The sequence below is a fragment of the Homo sapiens genome, chromosome 1, assembly GCF_000001405.40.
Source record: "Homo sapiens chromosome 1, GRCh38.p14 Primary Assembly".
NCBI lineage: Eukaryota > Metazoa > Chordata > Mammalia > Primates > Hominidae > Homo > Homo sapiens.
This window is the reverse complement of record NC_000001.11, coordinates 36,512,105-36,532,315: the sequence shown is the minus strand read 5'-3', so window position 1 is coordinate 36,532,315 and position 20,211 is coordinate 36,512,105. Positions and strand designations below refer to the sequence as shown.

Sequence of the window (20,211 nt, the reverse complement as noted above, 5' to 3'; positions counted from 1 at the left end):
TCAACCTTCAGCCCCTCTCCCATTCCCAGGAGGTTGGAGATGGGACTGAAAATGCCAACCTTCCAATCATGTGGTTGGTTCCGTGGCAACCAGCCTCCATCCTGAGGCTATCAGTGTCTGAACCCCCAGCCACAAGACATCTCATTAGCATTCAAGGAGGCACCTATCACCTAAGAGATTCCAAGGGTTTTAGACGTGTGTGCCAGGAAGCTGGATGAAGAGCAAATCTGTATTTCACAACATCATGCTGAGTAAAGCAGATTGCCCTCCCCAGTGTGGTGGGCCGAATCTAATCAGTTGAAGGCCTGAAGAAAACAAAAAGTCTGCCTCTTCCTCAAGTTAGAGGGAACTCCTACCCAACTGTCTAGAACTGGGACGTGGGTCTTTTCCTGCCTTCAGACTCCAACTAAAACACTAGCTTTCTCTGCTTTGTTTTTGTTTGGTTGGTTTTTTCTGAGCCTTCCAGCTTTCAAACTGGAACTATACCATCATCTCTCCTGGGTCTCCAGCCTGCTGACTGCAGATCTTGGGGATTCTTACTCTCCATAATCACACAAGTCAATTACTTATAATAAATATTTTTACATATATGATTACGTATATCTTTATATGTCTCTTTATGTACCTCTATATATTTATATTTTATATTATATATGTCTATACATAAAATAATCTCTTATGTATTTTTATTATATATAAAATAATCTCTATGTATAATATATATTATATATAAAAAGATTTATTATAAGTAATTGGGGCCAGGCGCAGTGGCTCACGCCTGTAATCCCAGCACTTTGGAAGACCGAGGCGGGTGGATCGCCTGAGGTCAGGAGTTTGAGACCAGCCTGGCCAACATGGTGAAACCCTGTCTCTGCTAAAAATACAAAAATTGGCTGGGCATGGTGGCAGGGACCTGTAATCCCAGCTACTCAGGAGGCTGAGGCAGGAGAATTTCTTGGAGCTGGGAGGCAGAGGTTGCAGTGAGCCGAGATCACGCCACTGCACTCTAGCCTGGGCGACAGAGCAAGACTCTATCTCAAAAAAAAAAAAAAGTAATTGTTTATACTTACATAACCAGTTGGAATTATTGGTTCTGTTCCTCTGGAGAACCCTGGATGAAACACCCACCAACCCATCCAGAGCTCACTACTGCACAGACCTCTGACCCCAGGACCCCCAACTCTTAGAGCCCAAGGCCCCATCTCTCATCCCAAGTCGCATCACCAGAATTGCCCAGCTTCCCAGTTACAGCCCAGAGCCCAGCCCAAGTCTTTGTATAAATCAAGATTTCTCTCTGCCCAACACTTGGAACCCAAAGCTTCCTCCTAATGGGACTTTTCAGGACTCCGAGGCCAGATGCCAGTCAGGGCGAAGCATTCTGCCCGGAATTCACCTGGAGTGTTGTCCCAGGTGTGGCCTCCAAACTCCAACCCCAGCCTGCTGCTGCCTCCTCACTGGACACGGAGATGCCAGGCCCCTGGTGGGCACCTGCCCTCATACTGGGCGAGGCTGTATCCAATTAGCATTGCCCCCAGCCCATCCCCCCCACCACACCACACACACACACACACACACACACACACACACACACACACACACCCTTCCCTGGCTCAGGATCATTCTGGCAGGTGTGTTAATCAGGGCTCTGGCTGGGAACAGACTGCTCAGGGCTCCAGAGAGAGGGTTTCACACCTGCCCTGGTTGCAGAGGTGTGGGCAGGGTTAAAGGGGCAACAGGGATGGGGAAGCCTTGGGCTGCCCCCTCACAGAAGCCTCCCATTAGCCAGACCCAACTGGAAGCCAGAGGGGGCTCTGCCCTCCACAGGTTCTGCCTCCCGGGGTACACAGCAGGGCAGAGGAGGGGTAGGAGAGCTGGCGGCAGGGCAGGGGTGTGGCAAACCCAGGAAGGGTGAGGGAATTCCTGCTTCTGAGCCCTCCCGTGCCCGCCCTGCTGTGCACTCAGCACTTTCTGGGCATTGTTGCCTCTTCCTGGGCTTTCCTGGACTGGAGACTGAGGCAGGGCGGGGGCGGGGAGGCCTGTGCAGGACCAGCCCGGGGATGAGGAACAGGGGAAGTAGGGGTTCTTCCCAGGACTCAGGGTGGGGTCACTCCTGACCCTGATCTTCAGAGGAGGTTGGGACCCTGCAGCCATGTGCCCCACCCCCACCCCCTGATGGGCCACCCCATCCTATGACTCAGGACTCTCCTCCATCACTGCATCCCTGGATCCCTCTCTTTCCCAGCCAGAACCCACCCTCACTAGCTTAATGAAGTTCCCAGCTGACATTTCCTAATTCCCTAATGATTAACTTCCAGTGGATTAGAACCGGGACAGCTATTCAATTAACATGCAGGTCTGAGATTACTCAGGACTCATTAAGACTCCGTAATTGACTTGTTAATGTGCAAGAATTCAATTACTTGCCTGGCACTGAACTTTCGGCCAGGGCATGGGGGAGCAGCCACAGGGCAACAAATGCCCCACCCTGGGAGCCCTAGTCTGAGGGAAGAGACAGTCCAGCCCAGAGGTAACAGGCTGGGGAGGTCTAGTCTGAGGGAGGAGACACAAGTTGATCCCAGGGGAACCCCAGTTCCTCTGAGGAAGACACAACCCTTGTCTCTGGAGAGCCCCAGATTGTGGAGGAGAAGCTACAACCTCTCTTTGAGCATCTCAACCGTGAAGGGAGAGATACATTTCTGACCCTCAAGGAGCTTCCTAAGGGGGAAGACCCAACTCATGTCCTGGTCTGGGGAGGCACAGCCTCTCTTTGGGCACCCCCCATTCTGACAGGGACAGCACAGCCCTGCCCTGGAATAGCCCCTGTCAGAGGGGGCAGCCTTGCACATGTTCTGGAAGGCTCTGTTGAGGGGAGAGGCCTTGTCATTGGAGGCCCTGGTCTGAATGGAGGTAAAGTCAAGGCTGGAGGAGTCTAGTCTGAGGGACATGTGGTTCCTTCCAAGGGATCCCCTGGTCTGAGAAGGGGCCAGGCAAAAGGCCAGTGTCTCCACAGGACAGACACAGAAGCCCAAAAAGACCACACAGTCACAGTGCCAGCAGGGGTGCATCTGGGAACCAGTCTCCTTTGGAAGGGGCCAGGGAACCCCCCTTCCTCAGAGGACAGAGCAGGCCAACGCAGACTTCCTCTCTCCAGGTCTCAGCTCCCCCATCTGTCACTGCATGGGTCTCTGGCTGTCCCACCCCAACCCACACCAGTAACCTCAAGGGTGGCCAGTAACCAAGCCCACCCACCTATCCAGCACCAGCAACGCCCTGCCCAGTCCAGAACCTGAACTGTGCCACTGGAGAGAAACTAATTGAGGAAATTGGTAAGAGAGGGGGTCCAGGCCACTGAAGTCTGACAAATGAGGCTGGGATGATGGTGCATTTACAGAGCACCTCCTTGACACTGGCCATTTTCCACACATCGTCTGTAATTCTCCCCACTGTAGAGATGTAGAGACTGGAGTTCAGAGAGGTTAAGTAACTTGTCCAAGGACACACAGCAGGAAGGGATGGAATCCATCTGGAATCCATGAGGCCTCACCCTGAGCCTGTACTCTTAATCATTACCCTTTACTACACTATCCCCAGTCCCCATAAGTCCTGTTGGCTGTGACTGCCAGACTCACACCTGCTGCTGCAGTTCCAGTGAATTAAAACTCTTTCCACAAAACTGCCCTAAGAAGATTCACCAGGGAGGAGTGTGGGCCATTCAGAGAGTGAAGCGCCCTCTGGAGCCCAGTGAAGAGGAGACTCCATCAAGAGGCCTGGATCACTGTGCCAAGCAGGCCCTACAAGATGGTGGTCGTGCCTGGGGCAGAACCTTCAGGCCAGTCCCTGGTAGAACTCTGCAGCACATTATTCTGCTGATGTGATAACACTAGCAAAGCAACATGGCTCTGCCTCCTACAAGCTGTACGGCCTCGGGCAAGTTACTTCACCTCTCTGAGAGTGTTTCCTTACCTGTAAATTGAGAATGGCAATAGTACCTTCCTCATAAGGTTGTTTGCCGGGGTAAACAACATAACGTATGTAAAGATTTGGAAACCTTGCCTGGCAGGTGGAGAGCACTCGCTGTGTTCACCTTTGGGTGATCATCGTCATTTGTTAACACCTCAGGGAGAAAAGAGAAATCACCAGGAATCAACAGTGGTTCACTTTAAAAGGTTACATCCTGCTAATGTCCACTTCGAACAACATTTCTGGAATGATGAGTCCAAGAGCACTAGAGACATTTCAGAAACGCATTTGGCACTCTCCCGAGAGAGCAATGTTGATTTCTGTAAAATGCAGGCTGGGTAAAATATGATCATATGTTGATTGAAGCTGTGCTGTGTGTTGATTAAATGGTTCAGAGGCGGTGTCATTGGAAAGGGTCGTTGCGGATTTGCATGACAAATACATCTGAAGATGAAAAGATGCCATTAAGCTGGAAGGGCCAACAGAAGAATGGAAAATGACCCCCAAAGTCCAGAACAATGCATTTAGACCAAGAGCATGAAGGGAAACAGCAGCAGGTAAACAGTCTGCCCTCTGAAAACCGACAGAAAGAGAGTTCTGGCCGGCCGTGGTGGCTCATGCCTGTAATCCCAGCACTTTGGGAGGCCGAGGCAGGCAGATCATGAGGTCAGGAGACTGAGACCAGCCTGGCCAACATAGTGAAACCCCGTCTCTACTAAAAATACAAAAACTAACCAGGCGTGGTGCATGCATCTCTAGTCCCAGCTACTCAGGAGGCTGAGGCAGAAGAATCGCTTGAACCCAGGAGGCGGAGGTTGTGGTGAGCCAAGATCGCGCTGCTGCACTCCAGCCTGGGCAACAAAGCAAGACTCCATCTCAAAAAAAAGAAAAAAGAGAGTTCAGCCATATACTGTTTAGCAAACAAGGGGGCAACCACAAGTGAGGGCTGGGGAGGGAAGAGAGAGAGAGAGAGAGAAAGAGGGAGTCCATGTGTGCGTTAAGATAGCCTTTAGGCCGGGCACAGTGGCTCAAGCCTGTAATCTCAGCACTTTGGGAGGCCGATGTGGGTGGATCACTTAAGGCCAGGAATTTGCGACCAGCCTGGCCAACATAGGGAAACTCCATCTCTATTAAAAATACAAAAAATTAGCTCAGTGTGGTGGTGCATACCTGTGATCCCAGCTATCCAGGAGGCCTCCTGTGCAGGAGAATCACTTGAACCTGGGAGGCAGAGGTTGCAGTGAGCCAAGGTAATGCCGTTGCCGTGAGCCAAGGTAATGCCATTGCACTCCAGCCTGGGCAACAGAGCAAGACTCCATCTCAAAAAATAATAACAGGGCCGGGCGCAGTGGCTCACGCCTGTAATCCCAGCACTTTGGGAGGCCGAGGTGGGCAGATCACGAGGTCAGCAGATCGAGACCATCCTGGCTAAAACAGTGAAACCCCGTCTCTACTAAAAATAAAAAAAATTAGCCGGGCGTGGTGGTGGGCGCCTGTAGTCCCAGCTACTCGGGAGGCTGAGGCAGGAGAATGGTGTGAACCCGGGAGGCAGAGCTTGCAGTGAGCCAAGATCGCGCCACTGCACTCCAGCCTGGGCGACAGAGCGAGACTCCGTCTCAAAAAAAAAGAAATAATAATAATAATAATAACAATAATTTATTTAAAATCTTTTAAAATAAACATAATATCTTAAAAGATCTTAAAATAGCCTTCCATATCTTAAAATACGTCTGGAAATATACATAAGAAATTAAAGACTTTTTAAATCTGTGGGGAGGGAAACTAAGGCCAGAGAACAGAGATGTGGGAGGAAATTTTTTTACTGAATAATACCCTTTTATAATTTTTAATTTTGAACCCTGCAAATGTATTGCCTATTCAAAAATTAAATTAAAGAACGTGAACCCTGGTTATCTCTGGTTGCTGGGGTGATGGGTGGTTTTGCTTTCTTCTTCTTTTCCTGTATTGTCTGAATTTTTTTAATGACCATGTATTACATTTTTAAATCAAGAGAAATAATAGAGTTGTTCACATTTTTCTTTAAAAGTCTGCCTCGCTTGTATAGGCTGGGCTACAACTCATGTGACAAAAGAAGTAGTGGAGGCTTGCTGGTAAAGGGAAACAGCTGGCCGGGCGTGGTGGCTCACGCCTGTAATCCCAGCACTTTGGGAGGCCGAGGCGGGCAGAGCATGAGGTCAGGAGTTCAAGACCAGCCTGCCCAGCATGTTGAAACTCCATCTGTACTAAAAATACAAAAAAGAAAAATTAGCCAAGCAGGGTGGCGCTTGCCTCTAGTCCCAGCTACTCGGGAGACTGAGGCAGAATTGCTTAAACCCGGGAGGTGGAGGTTGCAGTGAGCCAAGATCACACCACTGCACTCCAGCCTGGGTGACAGGGTGAGACTCCATCTCAAAAAAAAACAAAAAAGGAGGCTGGGGAAACAGTTTAGAAATGGGAACAGGTTTGCTGCTGTGTGGCCGCAGAGGGCAGAAGGAGAAACCATGGGCAAAATGACTTGAGGCCAACTCAGGGCAGCAGCCAGAAAGGGCATCTTGTCAAGGTCACTCTGGGGGAAAATGAGCTCCCCATCACTGGAAGTGCACAAACAAAACCTGGCAAGTGCTTGTCAGAGGGTTATGGAGAGAATTCCTGCTTAGCAAAGGGGCTGGAGGGTCTAGGAGTTACCGGTTCAGGGTCAGCTCCTTCAGCGCAGATGTGGGGTTACTTTCTTTTTTTTTTTAGACTGAGTCTTACTCTGTCACCCAGGCTGGAGTGCAATGGCACGATCTTGGCTCACTGCAAGCTCCGCCCCCCGGGTTCATGCCATCCTCCTGCTTCAGCCTCCCGAGTAACTGGGATTACAGGTGCCCGCCACCGTGCCCTGATAATTTTTATAAGTACTTTCTAATCTCATCAGTGCTAAGCAGAAAGCCCACCTCAGGGGCTTGGGCCTCACTCACTGTCCCTGGCTGCCTGGGCCCACCATTCATTACAGGTGCAGCCTCAGAGCTGCACGTGCCCGCACATGTGCCGTGTGGGGACATGGAGGTGAGCATGCACTGAGTTGGGTGCACATGTGTGAACACAGGTATGACATTAAACCACAGATGTGGCCATGTAGGGGGGGTACATATGGACACCCAGGTGGGTGCAGTTGTCCATACACAGGCGTGTGTTCATTCAGCCCGGCCTTGAAACAGAGAAAGACGCTGTGCTCTGCACACACACACACACACACACACGTGTGCACATCCACAGTGGCCTCCCTTCCTGTGTGCCAGGATGTCTTGGTGTGTAAAGCACTTCTGCACCACCCTTGCATCTAATACCGATCCTGTGGAGTAGCCAGAATGAGGTTTGTTATCCTGGCGCATAGTAAGCACTCACTAAACATCACTACAGTTATCGCTATCACTTTTATCACAGTTCGCAGATGAGAAAATAGGCAGCAGGGCCTGCTCAGTGTCACAGACATATTAAGTGTGTGGTAGAGATGGAAATCAGACTCACAGGACCCAGTTCTCAGTCACGTGCTGTTGGCTTATGTTCTGCCCTTTCACATTATTCCACTATTTCACTATGTGAATAGTACGCACTGTTTCACATTCATACCTCCACGTGCACAGACATCCTCCCGTGCTGGCCCCTCACAGCTGTCCATCACATACACACCCACGCGTGGGTGCCTGTCATGTGTACACACACACGGAGGTGTCATACACATCACAGACCCATACGCACAGGTATTCATCACATGCGCACACATAAGTCCATCACGACACACACACAGGCAGTGTTACTGACATACACACACACGTGTCTGTCACATACACACACAGAGTCATCCATCACATACACACACACATATCCATGTACACATGCATGTGTTCATCACATACACAAATACACACAAATGTTCCTCACAAACACACACACGAAAGCATTCATCACACACACACATGCATGCAGACACCTGAATGTAACAATATAATACTAGCTAATATTTTGCCCCACGATGAACTGAACACTGTATATGCATAATCTCATTTCATACTCAAAAGCCCTGGAAGTGCCATTCTTGTCTTACAGATGAGGAAACTGAGGCACTGAGTGGCCGAGTCCTGTGCCTGAGGCCGCCCGCTGTTCAGCGGAAGAGCCAACATCTGTGCTATCGACCCCTCTGCTCCCCGCCTCCCCGTGAGCACTTTCGTTCTGTCTTCCCTTCGCTCTGTTGAGGTACGTAGTTATTCATCATACAATGGTGTAATATTAAAATGAAATTAGCAGCGACCTAGGCGTGGGCAGACACTTTCAAACGTGGCTTCCTCCCCCATTCTCTTCCAGGAAAGCCAGAGCGGTTTTAAACGATCAGACATTTGCATAATGGCTTCCCTTTGTTCTGACTAAATTGGCCAGAATACACACCTCTGTTCCATCTAGAGGCCTCCAGACCGAGGCTTAATGATGACACCCTTGTCTGTAAGCAAGGCTATGGTTAGGGGAAGTGGTCATGTCCATTTCCCTCTCTCTGTTATCCATAGTCTCAAATTCAGGAATATTCAAGTCAAAGGTCAGCTGCTGGCCTATTTGGAAGATTCAAGGTTGGGCCAAGACACTTCAGGATGAAGAGCAAAAGTTATAGCTCCAAACTGTCTCTCCTGCCCAGAAAGTCATATGGAGATGGAGATGAAATCGGTAGAAGGAGACATGGAAGTTTTTGTTTCTTTAGGGCTTAGAAAAGTTGTGTGAAAACCTTTCTTTGCTAATCAGTCTGGAGCCAGGACTGACCCCTATCGCGTGGGATATGTTACCTGTCTATAAATGCTCCAGAACATTCTACCAGCAGCCATGCAATCTCAGCCTTAATTTTTGTCATGACACACACAATGCTAGAAGCCACAGATGCTGATGGATGCTGTATCATAACACACTCATGAAGCAAATATTTATTGAGCAGCTATTCAGTGCGAGGAAGCAGGGATGTCGCTATGAAGAAGCCACGGTCAGGGCTCTCATGGGGCTCACAGTCCTTGCAGGCTCTTTACAGTGGGGGTCCCACTGCCCGAGGACAGGTTGTGGCCTCCTTAGGAGATGAGATAGGTTTTGTCCCAGTCCACAGCCCCTCCTGGGGCTTGCTGCTTGAGAGGCAAGACAGATGGCAAGAGCTTCCCTGTGTGTATACAGTCTCTGCACATGACCTAGAATCCCCGAGCACAGAGAGAGATGCAGGAAGAGTCCCAGAACGTGCGGTGGAAGGCCCGTGACGTCTCTGACAGAGAACCGAGAGGACCTAGCTTGACGGACAAGGAAAAGGAATAGTCTCTCTCTGTGCCTTCTCCACAGCCCTCCCCTGGACGGCTGTGACTACCTCACTGAGGTCACAGCTAGTGAAGTTAGCAGCTGTGGGATTTGAACTCAGGTCTCCAAAGCTAAGGCTCATGCAAACTTCATTCTGCAACCTCCCCTGCCTGTGCACATGTGCACACACACACACACTTCAACCTCTGGCTCTAAGAACAAGTGGACACCCAAAAAGATAAAGGGGTGAAACAAAGATACCAAAGTGTCCCCCATGCAGCTGGCAGACCCAGAGAGGACCCTGGCACTCACTGCCACCACCAGGAGACCTGGCAGAGGTGGTGTTTGGCTCCATGGGTGCTGGAAGCAGGCCGGGCACTGAGCAAGCACTTTCCACGGCACGCCACACCCTCTGTGCAGGGCCATGGTAGCCTGCCCTGCTATTTGGGGAGAATTTAACAAGGCACCCCTGGCCTAACTATTAGAATGAGGTGCCACCTGGGAGGGCACATGGCTTAACGAGCAGAAGGCACTTTTGTGATTGAAAAAAAAAGAAAAAAGTGTCCTGTCAGCCCCTAACCAGAGCCCTAAGCAGTGCCCTGACTTTGTGGAAGCTGTTACTACCTCCCTGAGATCATGGCTAATGAAGTTAGCAGGTGTGGGATTTGAACCCAGGTCTCCAGAGCTAAGGCTCATGCAGACAGCTCTGCAACCTCCAAATCTGCAGCCAGATATGCATGCATGAGTGTGCGATACACGCATAAACCAAGCGGAGGGTGCTCAGGGGCTCGGGCCTCACAGGGAGACTCGGCCCTCTCTTGAGCGGTCTCCCAATCTTAGGAGAAACATCCCCACTCAAGGGAGCCCCGGAGAGGAAGGCAGAACTCTGCCCTCTGGAGACCCAGTCTGAGGGGGGAGACAGGGCCCTGTCCTGAGAAAGCCCAGTCTGAGGGGGGAGACAGGGCCCTGTCCTGAGAGAGCCCAGTCTGAGGGAGGAGACAGGACCCTGTCGTGAGAGAGCCCAGTCTGAGGGAGGAGACAGGACCCTGTCCTGAGAGAGCCCAGTCTGAGGGGGAAGACAGGACCCTGTCCTGAGAGAGCCCAGTCTGAGGGAGGAGACAGGACCCTGTCCTGAGAGAGCCGGGTCTGAGGGGGGAGACAGGACCCCGTCCTGAGAGAGCCCAGTCTGAGAAGGGAGACAGGTCCCTGTCCTGAGAGAGCCCAGTCTGAGGGAGGAGACATGGCCCTGTCCTGAGAGAGCCCAGTCTGAGAGGGGAGACAGGGCCCTTTCCTAAGAGAGCCCAGTCTGAGGGAGGAGACAGGGCCCTGTCCTGAGAGAGCCCAGTCTGAGGAGGGAGACAGGGCCCTTTCCTGAGAGAGTCCAGTCTGAGAGGGGAGACAGGGCCCTTTCCTGAGAGATCCCAGTCTGAGGGAGGAGACAGGGCCCTGTCCTGAGACAGCCCAGTCTGAGGGGGGAGACAGGGCCCTTTCCTGAGAGAGTCCAGTCTGAGAGGGGAGACAGGGCCCTTTCCTGAGAGATCCCAGTCTGAGGGAGGAGACAGGGCCCTGTCCTGAGACAGCCCAGTCTGAGGGGGGAGACAGGACCCTGTCCTGAGAGAGCCCAGTCTGAGTGCATATGACGGGGATGGGACACAGCCCTACTCTGGGCACTCCACCTGAAGAGAGCGATGAGACAATGGTGAAGGGATGGAGCCCTGCCAGGTCCCCTCTGCCCTTCACTCCTCACAGGCTGTGGAAGCCGGTTCTCCCGAGTCTTCCAGGCTGTGGTCAGGATGAGTGTCTTCAGCCCCAGGGTCTCACAAGGGAGAGCCAGGCAGAGAGGCAGGAGCCAGCACGGGGCTGTCACTCAGCCACACAGCTCCCCAGGGAACACTTTACAGCTTCACCTATTCTGCGTCGCCTGCTTGACGGAGCATCCAAAGCAATTCCAGGACTGTATTTCATTGTCACATTTATTTGCAAGGGGTGTCAGTCAGGCCCCAGAAGCCAGCGGCCCTGCTGCTCCTTGCATTTTGTCACATGTAAACACACATAGGCCCACACTCACTGGCACCCACCTTCAGGTACACCTCGAAACACACAGAGGACACCCAGAAACACAGAGTCATTGCACACATCATGGACATGCCAACTTGGGGTCTGTGAATCAGGGCTACCACATTGCACAATTCCAGGGGGCACCATTCATATATCACTGTTATATATATGGTCATTTATATGCACACAGCATGGTTCAGAGTGTCCCTTGTGCACGCGCACAGACACAAACACACACACACACAGAAGCACACCCTCAGTCACAAACAGATTCCTAGAGAGCCACAGGCCTCAAGCTAAGGGCACCACAACCAGGTTCTTCCCAGGCAGGCTGGCGGGAGACCCACCACACTCCCAGCCTCCTGGAGCCCGTAAGATCAGGAGACAGGAGCAGGAAAAGACTGGGGAGTTCTCAGAAGCCCCTCTCCACACCCCATAAGTTTCTGGAACTGAGAAGGCCCTGCTACCCACCCCCTAACACACATACACACACAGACACGGAGCAGGAACCTCTCCAGCCTCTGAGTGGAAGCCGAACCATTAGCACTAATTACCACCCTTGTTGGGAAAGGGATTTAATTAACTCTCCGCTGGGGCTCGGAGGGGAGCCAGGGACCAAGGCAGGCCTGCTGAGGCTGGGCCTCTTCCTCCATCCTGTGGCTTTTCAGGTTTGGGGGAAGAGCCTTGGGAGAGGGGGTGGGAGGCGGTCACAGGTCTGTACATCTGAATATGTCCTGACACCCATCACACACATTCCAATTATGCATGCATGTGCACAGACACACCTGGAAGTAGCCACACACCTGTGACCCCACACTTAAAAACTGATGATGGGCTGGGGCACAGTGGCTCACGCCTGTAATCCCAGCACTTCAGGGGGCCGAGGCGGGCGAATCACATGAGGTCAGGAGTTCGTGAACAGCCTGGCCAATATGGTGAAACACCGTCTCTACTAAAAGTACAAAAATTAGCCGGGTGTGGGGATGCACGCCTATAGTCCCAGCTACTCGGGAGACTGAGGCAGGAGAATCGCTTGAACCTGGGAGGCAGAGGTTGCAGATAGCCAAGACTGCACCACTGCACTCCAGCTTGGGAGACAGAGTGAGACCCTATTTCAAAAAAAAAAAACAGATGATGGATGGACGGGCCGACAGATGGATGAACATGAGTGGGTAGGTGGGTAATGAAGGTGTGGATACATGAAACTACAGCCAAGTACACGCAGGACACTTGCAGCTGTGTACCACACACAGTCCAGCCCAGGGACACGCATTAGACGTGTTCACATCTTCCTATGTGCACATTCTCGCCCTCTCCCTGCCTTCTTCCTTTTCTCTTTCCAGTGAAGAAAAGCTTTATAGAGTCGTGGTTGAGAACTGAACTCTGGAATTCAACTACTTGGATTTGAATGGTTGAAATTTCCCAGCTATGTGAACTTGGGCATGTTTCTGAAGCTTTCTGTACCTAAGCTTCTTCAGCTACAAGGAGAAGATGGTACCTAAATACAGGGTTTGTGTGAGGAATAAAAGAGATGAAAAGTCCTTAGAAGACATGGGAAGTACTTGGAAGAGTATCTGGTACATAGTAAAGCCTCGGTACACCCTGGCTATTATGGCTGAAGTGGCTATTTCTCCTACAGGGAACAATCTGGAGATTCCAGAAGTATCCAGAAAATGCTCATATCCCCAGGGAAGGAAGTTGAGACCTCTCTTCTCCTCCCCAGCAGCCCCTGCACGTGAGCGCGCGCGCACACACACACACACACACACACACACACACACACACGAGACCAGATCCCAGACCGAGCCCCGAAGTCTGGGAGGGAGTTCCCCTGGAGATCCCCCGGAGCCTGCAATCAGGCTGTGTGCAAAGACAGGCTGAGCCAGGCCCAGGAATAAGCCAGGGAGAGCCAACCTCCAGGGCCCCTGAGCCCCCAACCCCAAACAATGATATATATTTTCAATTTTCTCAAAGATTATATATTTTTTCCTCCAGACGTTCATCTTGCGTTTTTTGACCAGGATAAACTGAAAAATAATAAAATCCAGATGGGAAAGAGATACTCATTCGTCCTGTACGGATTGTGGCGCTGGCACCAGCCCTCCCCCGACTAGCTTCACCCCAAGGTGGAGGGAGCTAAAGAGCAGTTGGTCAGACTGGAACAGAAAGGCAGATTAGGGTGCGGGGCAGCTTACAGCCCCCACTGGTCTCACAGCCTGGTGACATGGGAAGGTCTGGGGTCCGAGCCACAGCACGAGGGCCTTGTCTCTGTGTGACCTTGGCTGACTAACTCCCTTCTTGGAGACTCATTCTCCCACCTGCAAAATGGGGATAATAATTTCTCAGTTGTCTGCCCCAACAGGTGGATGGGAGATTTAAATGAGCTGCACATGGGAGGGCTTTGTGAGCTGTGACCCCCTGCCCACACGAAGCAGCGTCTATACCTGAGTTGACTCAGTAAACCAACCCCGGCCTGAAGGGCCCTGGCTTCCCCCACCCACACTGGGCTTCTGACCTGGGTCTAACATATGAGCAGGGCTCTGGGCTTTAGGGCTGGGTCTAACATACAGGCTTCCTTATCTCTTCTGCAATTTACCTTGTCAAGCCTCCCTGACTCCAGCATGTTTCATCCTCAAATTCCACTGGATGGATTCCATAGCACCAGCACCTTGTCTAGCTTAGAAAGACTGCCAAGAGGGCCCCTCTTGTTGTGAAAGACCATCCAAGGAAGAAACTACAGACTCTCAGTCATCTATTTTAGAGCCCACTCCTTGGGGAAGTCCTTCCTAGTGTCTAACTAAAATTCACTTTGCTGCAATGTGTTTTCACTGCAACCTCTGCCTCCTGGGTTCAAGTCATTCTCAAGCCTCAGCCTCCCAAGTAGCTGGGATTACAGGTGCTCTCCACCACACCCGGCTTATTTTTGTATTTTTAGTAGAGATGGGGTTTCACCATGTTGGCCAGGCTGATCTCAAACTCCTGGCCTCAAGTGATCTGCCCGCCTCGGCCTCCCAAAGTGCTGGGATTACAGGCGTAAGCCACCATGCCTGGCCTTGTTTACTCTTTTTGTGGCCCAGTAGGATCCAAGTCTAGTTGACCAAGGACTATCATTTTCTGGCAAACAAAATAATTTCTCATGCCCCGTTCACAGAGGGGAGGCTGCCTAATGAATTTTTAAAACACTGGAGTCTGGAGTTCAAGTACCCACTCTGCCACTTACTGGCTGTGTGACCTTGGGCAAGTTACCTTGGGGGCTATATGGCAGCTCCAGCTCTTTCCCCTCACCCCAGCTCCAGCCTCCCCGCCAGGGGTGAGACTTTATCTCCCAGGAGCAGGAGGGAGGTGATTTGAAGGAGAACAGAAGCGCTGCTCACTCTGCCCAGAGTAATTGGTGGTAATCCCACAGCCGGGCCTATCACCTCACTCCCAGCTGTGGGGACGCCATGGCCTCATCATCCGTCATTAGTCGGGCTCTCCTGGCGGCTCAATTGTAGAACATGATTTTAATAACCCTGGCAGGAGGGGATCATTTTTCTTTTGTCACTTAACTCCGATTCTGTTGGAGAAAGACGAGACATGAAAAGAGAGAAAGACAGGCTGACAGAGTAAAAGAGGGTACTAGGGACAGAGTCAGGGAGGGAGATGCATCTAGACAGCTGAGGAAGGGGAAGAGGGCAGAGCTAAGGAGAAGCAGGGTGAGGAAGAGGCCCGGTGTGAAAAGAGCAGACAGAGAGAGGAGCTGGGCACTCCTTTCCACCATGTGGTTCCCAGGGTTGCTCTCTCGTTCTGGTCCCCGTCCCCTGCACCCACAGCAGAATGGAGTGGTCAGGTTGCGACACTCCCGATCACACAGGCTTAGACTGCTCCCTGGGGCTCAGCTTAGGGCCTCGAGTGGGTGGACAAAGAATCCCAGTGTTGGGGTGAGGGAGGCTAGGAGAGTTCCTGATTTGGGACTTTTAGCCTAAGAGCTATAATTCCTCTGGAACGCAGCTACAATCCAGTGCAGGGGTTGACAACACACGTGGGCGTCCAACAGGCCTGGGCGGCACACCCAGCCCTGCCACATGCTAGCTGAGTGGACTTGCTGGCCTTTCCTGACCTTGGTGTTCTCATCTGTACAACGGGCACCCACTTCACACAGTTGCTGGTGAATATAGGAGCTGATGGGTGTGCCACGCCTGACACAGTGCCCACTACAGAGAACAGACAACCTGGGCAGCCAAGAGGCTTCTCGGGACAGCATGAGCTGGGGCAAGGAACACGCCAGGAACCTGTGTTCAGACTTCTTGAGGCCTGGGAGGCATCTCACCCCACCAGATACCACCAGCAGAGGCAGGAAGGGGGCCACAGAGGAACTCTGGCAGCATTCAGGGGGCCCTCCAGGACTGCAGCCCAGACCCCCGCCTGGGCAAAGCAAACTTGCAGAACCAGGACCTGAGGCCTGCAAAGCTGGGGGCACAGCGCCACCTGCTGACCATTAGGAGGACGATACAAGAGACCTTTGTCTCTTTCTCCCAATGGCCAGCTGGGATGTGGAGACTGGAGCTTCAGGAAGGCATTAGATTGGAACCCTGGGTCCTTCTTCCTGTCTCAGACCCCACCAGAATCTCCTGGACAGGCCCAGGGGAAGGTGGTGACCAGGCTCATGGGGCAGGTCACAGCTCTCCAAGTCTGCATGTTTCCCTCCAAGCCCCAGGGTCTGGGCCCAGCCCTGGAAAAGAAACATCTTTCATTCAAGTCTGAAAGACTTTTCTGTGGACTGGGGACCTCAGAAAAGAGGGGATCACCCAGTTTCTAACATGGGGAGCCACAGTCTGGTTTGGGAGAAGCTAAAGGCAGTGCCTGGAGGTCAGGGGGTTCTAAGGCATGCAGGCCAGGGAGCACACAAGAAAAGGCCTGCCCGGAGGAAGAGCCTGGACTTGGGGCAGTCGGGGTGTAGCTGGGAACGTTGCAAGGAAGAGGGACCCCTTCGCGAGTCACTAACTCAGGGAGACTCATTTCCTCCGAGGGCCAGGTCTGTGGATGGGTTAGCCCCAGCACCATCTGGTGACCTGAAATGACATCCCCTCTCTAGGTCTGTGAAATGGGTGTGATGGGACAAGGTGGAGGCCCAGGTCTGTCCTGGGCCCAGGGCTCATAGTCCAATGGTGCCATCTCTGATATCTGCTTTCTCACATCCAGGAGGAAGCTGTGCTGCCCTCAGACCTACTGGTAATTCCTCTTTCCCAGGAAAGGCAAGCAAGCCCTACAGTGAGCTGAGAACCTGGGCAGGGAAAGAGGCAGGTCACGAGGGGAGTGGCTCTAATGTCCATCAGGGCCAAGGTCTGAGCAGGAGTGGGGAGGGACTGATCAGCATAGCTGCAGATCAGGCAGCAAAGGCTCAAGGCCTACAGACCAGTGGAGTTGGGTCCCTGTGCCTGAGGAGCATGGGTCAGGGTGTCCTAGGATGCTGGAGACCTTCAGGGACCAGACCGGAGCACAGGCATCTGGCCAGCTGAAGCCTTCGTCCCCAGACTCAGGCCAGTGGCAGGCCTCGCCCTTGTCAGACTGGGCCCAGAGCTCCAAGGGCTTACTCACACCCTTCCACCTGGTGTGGGGCTCCTCTGGGCACCCCCACCTGCCCCCTGACTTCAGGGATCTGGCAGCCCAGAATAGGGTGGGAGGCAGCCTCCACAGCCCCACTTGGCCCTCCCCCAGAGCCTGCTCTCCCTGGAAGCTTCTCTGAACCAGGCATGATGTGTGACATAGGGACTTGCCCCTTAGAAGCTCCCGGGGGTGTGGCTGCCCACATCACACATGGGTACCTGGGACCATCATTATTTCCTCCTCCTATCTGATGGAAAATGTATCCCATGTCATGTTCCCCTGGTCGCAACCAATCAGTGTCTAAGTCCTACTGATTCTCCCTCCTTGAAATCTCTCAGATCCATGATTTTCTCTCATCCTATGGCCTGGGCCACCTACAATCGCCTCTGTGTGTTGTCCACTGCCTCCCTCCACATCACTACAGAGGTACCTTCCAACTGCTGTGCCCCTCTCCAGCCACAAAGGCAGCTCCAGGAGCTCCTCTGCCACCTCTCCCAGACCCACCAGGTCCCTGTGGTCCCCTGAGGGTTTAGGGCATCCTGGAGGATCGCACACTCACGATAGGTAAGGACTGCGTGCCCCAGAGGATCACACGCTCGCGGTGTGTGAGGACTGTGTGCCCTGGAGGATCACGCGCTCGTGGTATGTAAGGACTGTGTGCCCAGAGGATCACATGCTCGTGCTGTGTAAGGACTGCGTGCCCAGCAGGGAGCTCATCCCCTACCAGGGAGCAGGGCACTCACAAGACACCGCGGACACGGGGCCGAGTCAGTCCTCTGGTCCTAGGCCTTGGCAGGACGCTCCAGCAGCCCACAGGTAATGCCCTGCTCTGCAGCATAGTCGGGAGATAGCCCGCACCCCCAGTCTCCCCACCAGCTTCTCCTCCTGTTTCTCCCCATGTGGGCCAGACCTGTTGGCCCACAGAACCCCTCCTTGCCCTTCCTGTACTCTGCAGTGGGGGGCTGACCCCTGCAGGCTGTGTGTCCCAGGGTCCTGGTCTACGGGCTTCTGCCTGGATTTGGCCAATCAGAAAGAGGCCTTGGTGGGAGATTGGAGGATGGGAGGAAGGGCCAGGGCATGTCCCAGCTTCCCTCCCACCTCAGGTAGCACCTCTGACAGCCACTGTTTTCCTCCTCGCTGCCAGGCTCACCACAAGGCTAACTCAGCCCCTGAGTTCCAGGAACCTGGCCTCCGCCCTTTGTCTCTCCCGCCTAAGAGTGGTCATGGCTTCCAGCTGTTCATGGCCTCTGGGTTTGTCTCTCTGTCCCCTGATTGGTCCTTCCCTCTGTAGAGCTGCCCCACACACAACCCTAGTTCTGCTTCTTTCCTCTCACAAAAATGCCCAAAAGAGAGAATTTAAAGGACCATCAGAAACCCCCCACAACCCCCACTCCTCCCAATATGGGTGTGCACACGCACACACTCGCTCCCTGAGTGCCGAGGGAAAGCTGACCCTTAGAAACAGGAAGGGTCCTGGCTCCTCGATGGAAGTAAAGGATTATCTTTCCATTTCTTCCTGCTGCTTCTCTACCGCCGCTGCTGCCACCACCACCCGACCAGGACAGGTGAAAGGGCTCTGGAAGAGAAGAAAAATGCTCCCACCCCGTTAGACTGTCTGCAAGATATCATCTCAGCACCCTGCACAGAATGTCCACTGCCTCTCCCATAGGCCCTGGGAGGAAAGAGCAAAAAGGGGTGGTCATCCAGGCTGGACACCAGAGTCCCTGTTCTCAGCTGAGTCCCCCAAGACATCACTGCCACCCAAAACAGAGGACCTCGCAGTGTGGCCACTCTGCCTGGAGGCCAAGGGGAGGAGAAGGATCCTTGCTGGCTTTTTTGGCTCCCTGATCTGGAGGCCTTTCCTCATTCTCACTGTGAGGAAAGACTCCCCTACCAGCCGTGAGTTCCCCTATTTTCCCATCCACCTAGGTGGGCACTTCCGTTCAAAAGGGTTAAGCCATCCAGGCGCAGTGGCACACGCCTGTAATCCCAGCACTTTGGGAGGCCGAGGCGGGCAGATCACCTGAGGTCAAGAGTTCCAGACCAGCCTGGCCAACATGGTGAAACCCTGTCTCTGCTAAAAATACAAAAAAAAAAAAAAATTACCTGAGCGTGGTGGCAGACACCTGTAATCCCAGCTACTCATGAGGCTGAGGCAGGAGAATCACTTGAACCCAGGAGTCAGAGGTTGCAGTGAGCCAAGATCACTCCATTGCACTCCAGCCTGGGCAACAAGAACAAAACTCCAACTAAAAAAGAAAAAAAACAGGAGCCACTGCTAACTGTTCCACAGACTCTTGAAAAGGTTAAACAGGTTAATACATGGAAAGGGCTTAGTTGGAATGACTAACACATAGCAAGCAATATATGAACATCACATGAATAAAAAATGTGGCAACAGGTCCCATTGTTCTTTTTGTTGAATATGTCTTCTACCTATTTATCAAAATTCCATTAAACTCGCCCAGTTGACACATGTGCTCTCCTCCCACATAAAACCCACATGTCCCAGACTCTCTTGCAACTAGGTCTGGTCATGTCACCATGCCCCTGGATCTGAGTGTTTTGTTCTTTGGGGTTTTTTGGGGGGGTTGGGGGAAGGGTCTTGCTCTGTCACCCAGGCTGGAGTGCAGTGGGGATGATCATGGCTCACTGTAGCCTCTAATTCCTGGGCTTAAGTGATCCTCCTGACTCAGCCTCCCAGATGGCTGGGATTACAGGTGCACCACCCTGCCTGGCTAATTTGGGGAGTTTTTGTGTTTTATTTTTGTAGATATGGGGTCTCACTATGTTGCCCAGTCTGGTCTTGAACTCCTGGCTTCCAGCAATCCTCCTGCCTCCGCCTCCCAAAGTGCTGGGATTACAGGTGTGAGCGACCATGCCCAACCTGGATCTGAGTGTTGTGTGGCAATTTCTGGAACCTTACTGCAAAGAAGGCTGGGGCTGGCCTTTTGCACCCCTTCTGTACCCTATCCTCCAAGCTGTTTCTGGAGTTGCCATCTGCAACCACAGGAATGAGGCCGCACCCTGGGGATGAGAACAGTAAGCTGGAAGGAGCCTGTGCCCCGGACACTGCAGAGCCCCTCTCCAGCCCCGGGCTGCTCCAAATGGGCTTCTACATGACACAGAAAGAAACTTTCCTTTTGTTTAAGCCCCCAAGCAAATACACTTTCCCAGTAGCCATGAAGATGAAAACAGTGGCCCCAGACTTGGGCACTCCAGCTGAGAATGCCAGTCGGGAACCCACACACCAAAGGACGACTCTCTCACACCACAGGAGGTACTGCACATGCCTTCTGAATCCCGGAA

General features: G+C 52.6%; 4 annotated features.

Annotated features, from left to right (window-relative positions):
• Positions 7,708 to 8,208: an enhancer, noted in NCBI's record as "OCT4-NANOG-H3K4me1 hESC enhancer chr1:36989709-36990209 (GRCh37/hg19 assembly coordinates)". NCBI's record gives its function as "activates a minimal SCP1, AML or CMV promoter by ChIP-STARR-seq in naive H9 embryonic stem cells {active_cell/tissue: H9 hESC(naive)}" and the evidence as "EXISTENCE:reporter gene assay evidence [ECO:0000049][PMID:30033119]".
• Positions 8,209 to 8,709: an enhancer, noted in NCBI's record as "OCT4-NANOG-H3K4me1 hESC enhancer chr1:36989208-36989708 (GRCh37/hg19 assembly coordinates)". NCBI's record gives its function as "activates a minimal SCP1, AML or CMV promoter by ChIP-STARR-seq in naive and primed H9 embryonic stem cells {active_cell/tissue: H9 hESC(naive and primed)}" and the evidence as "EXISTENCE:reporter gene assay evidence [ECO:0000049][PMID:30033119]".
• Positions 15,550 to 15,599: an enhancer, noted in NCBI's record as "active region_757". NCBI's record gives its function as "activates an Ori minimal core promoter by ATAC-STARR-seq in GM12878 lymphoblastoid cells {active_cell/tissue: GM12878}" and the evidence as "EXISTENCE:reporter gene assay evidence [ECO:0000049][PMID:35858748]".
• Positions 15,640 to 15,729: an enhancer, noted in NCBI's record as "active region_756". NCBI's record gives its function as "activates an Ori minimal core promoter by ATAC-STARR-seq in GM12878 lymphoblastoid cells {active_cell/tissue: GM12878}" and the evidence as "EXISTENCE:reporter gene assay evidence [ECO:0000049][PMID:35858748]".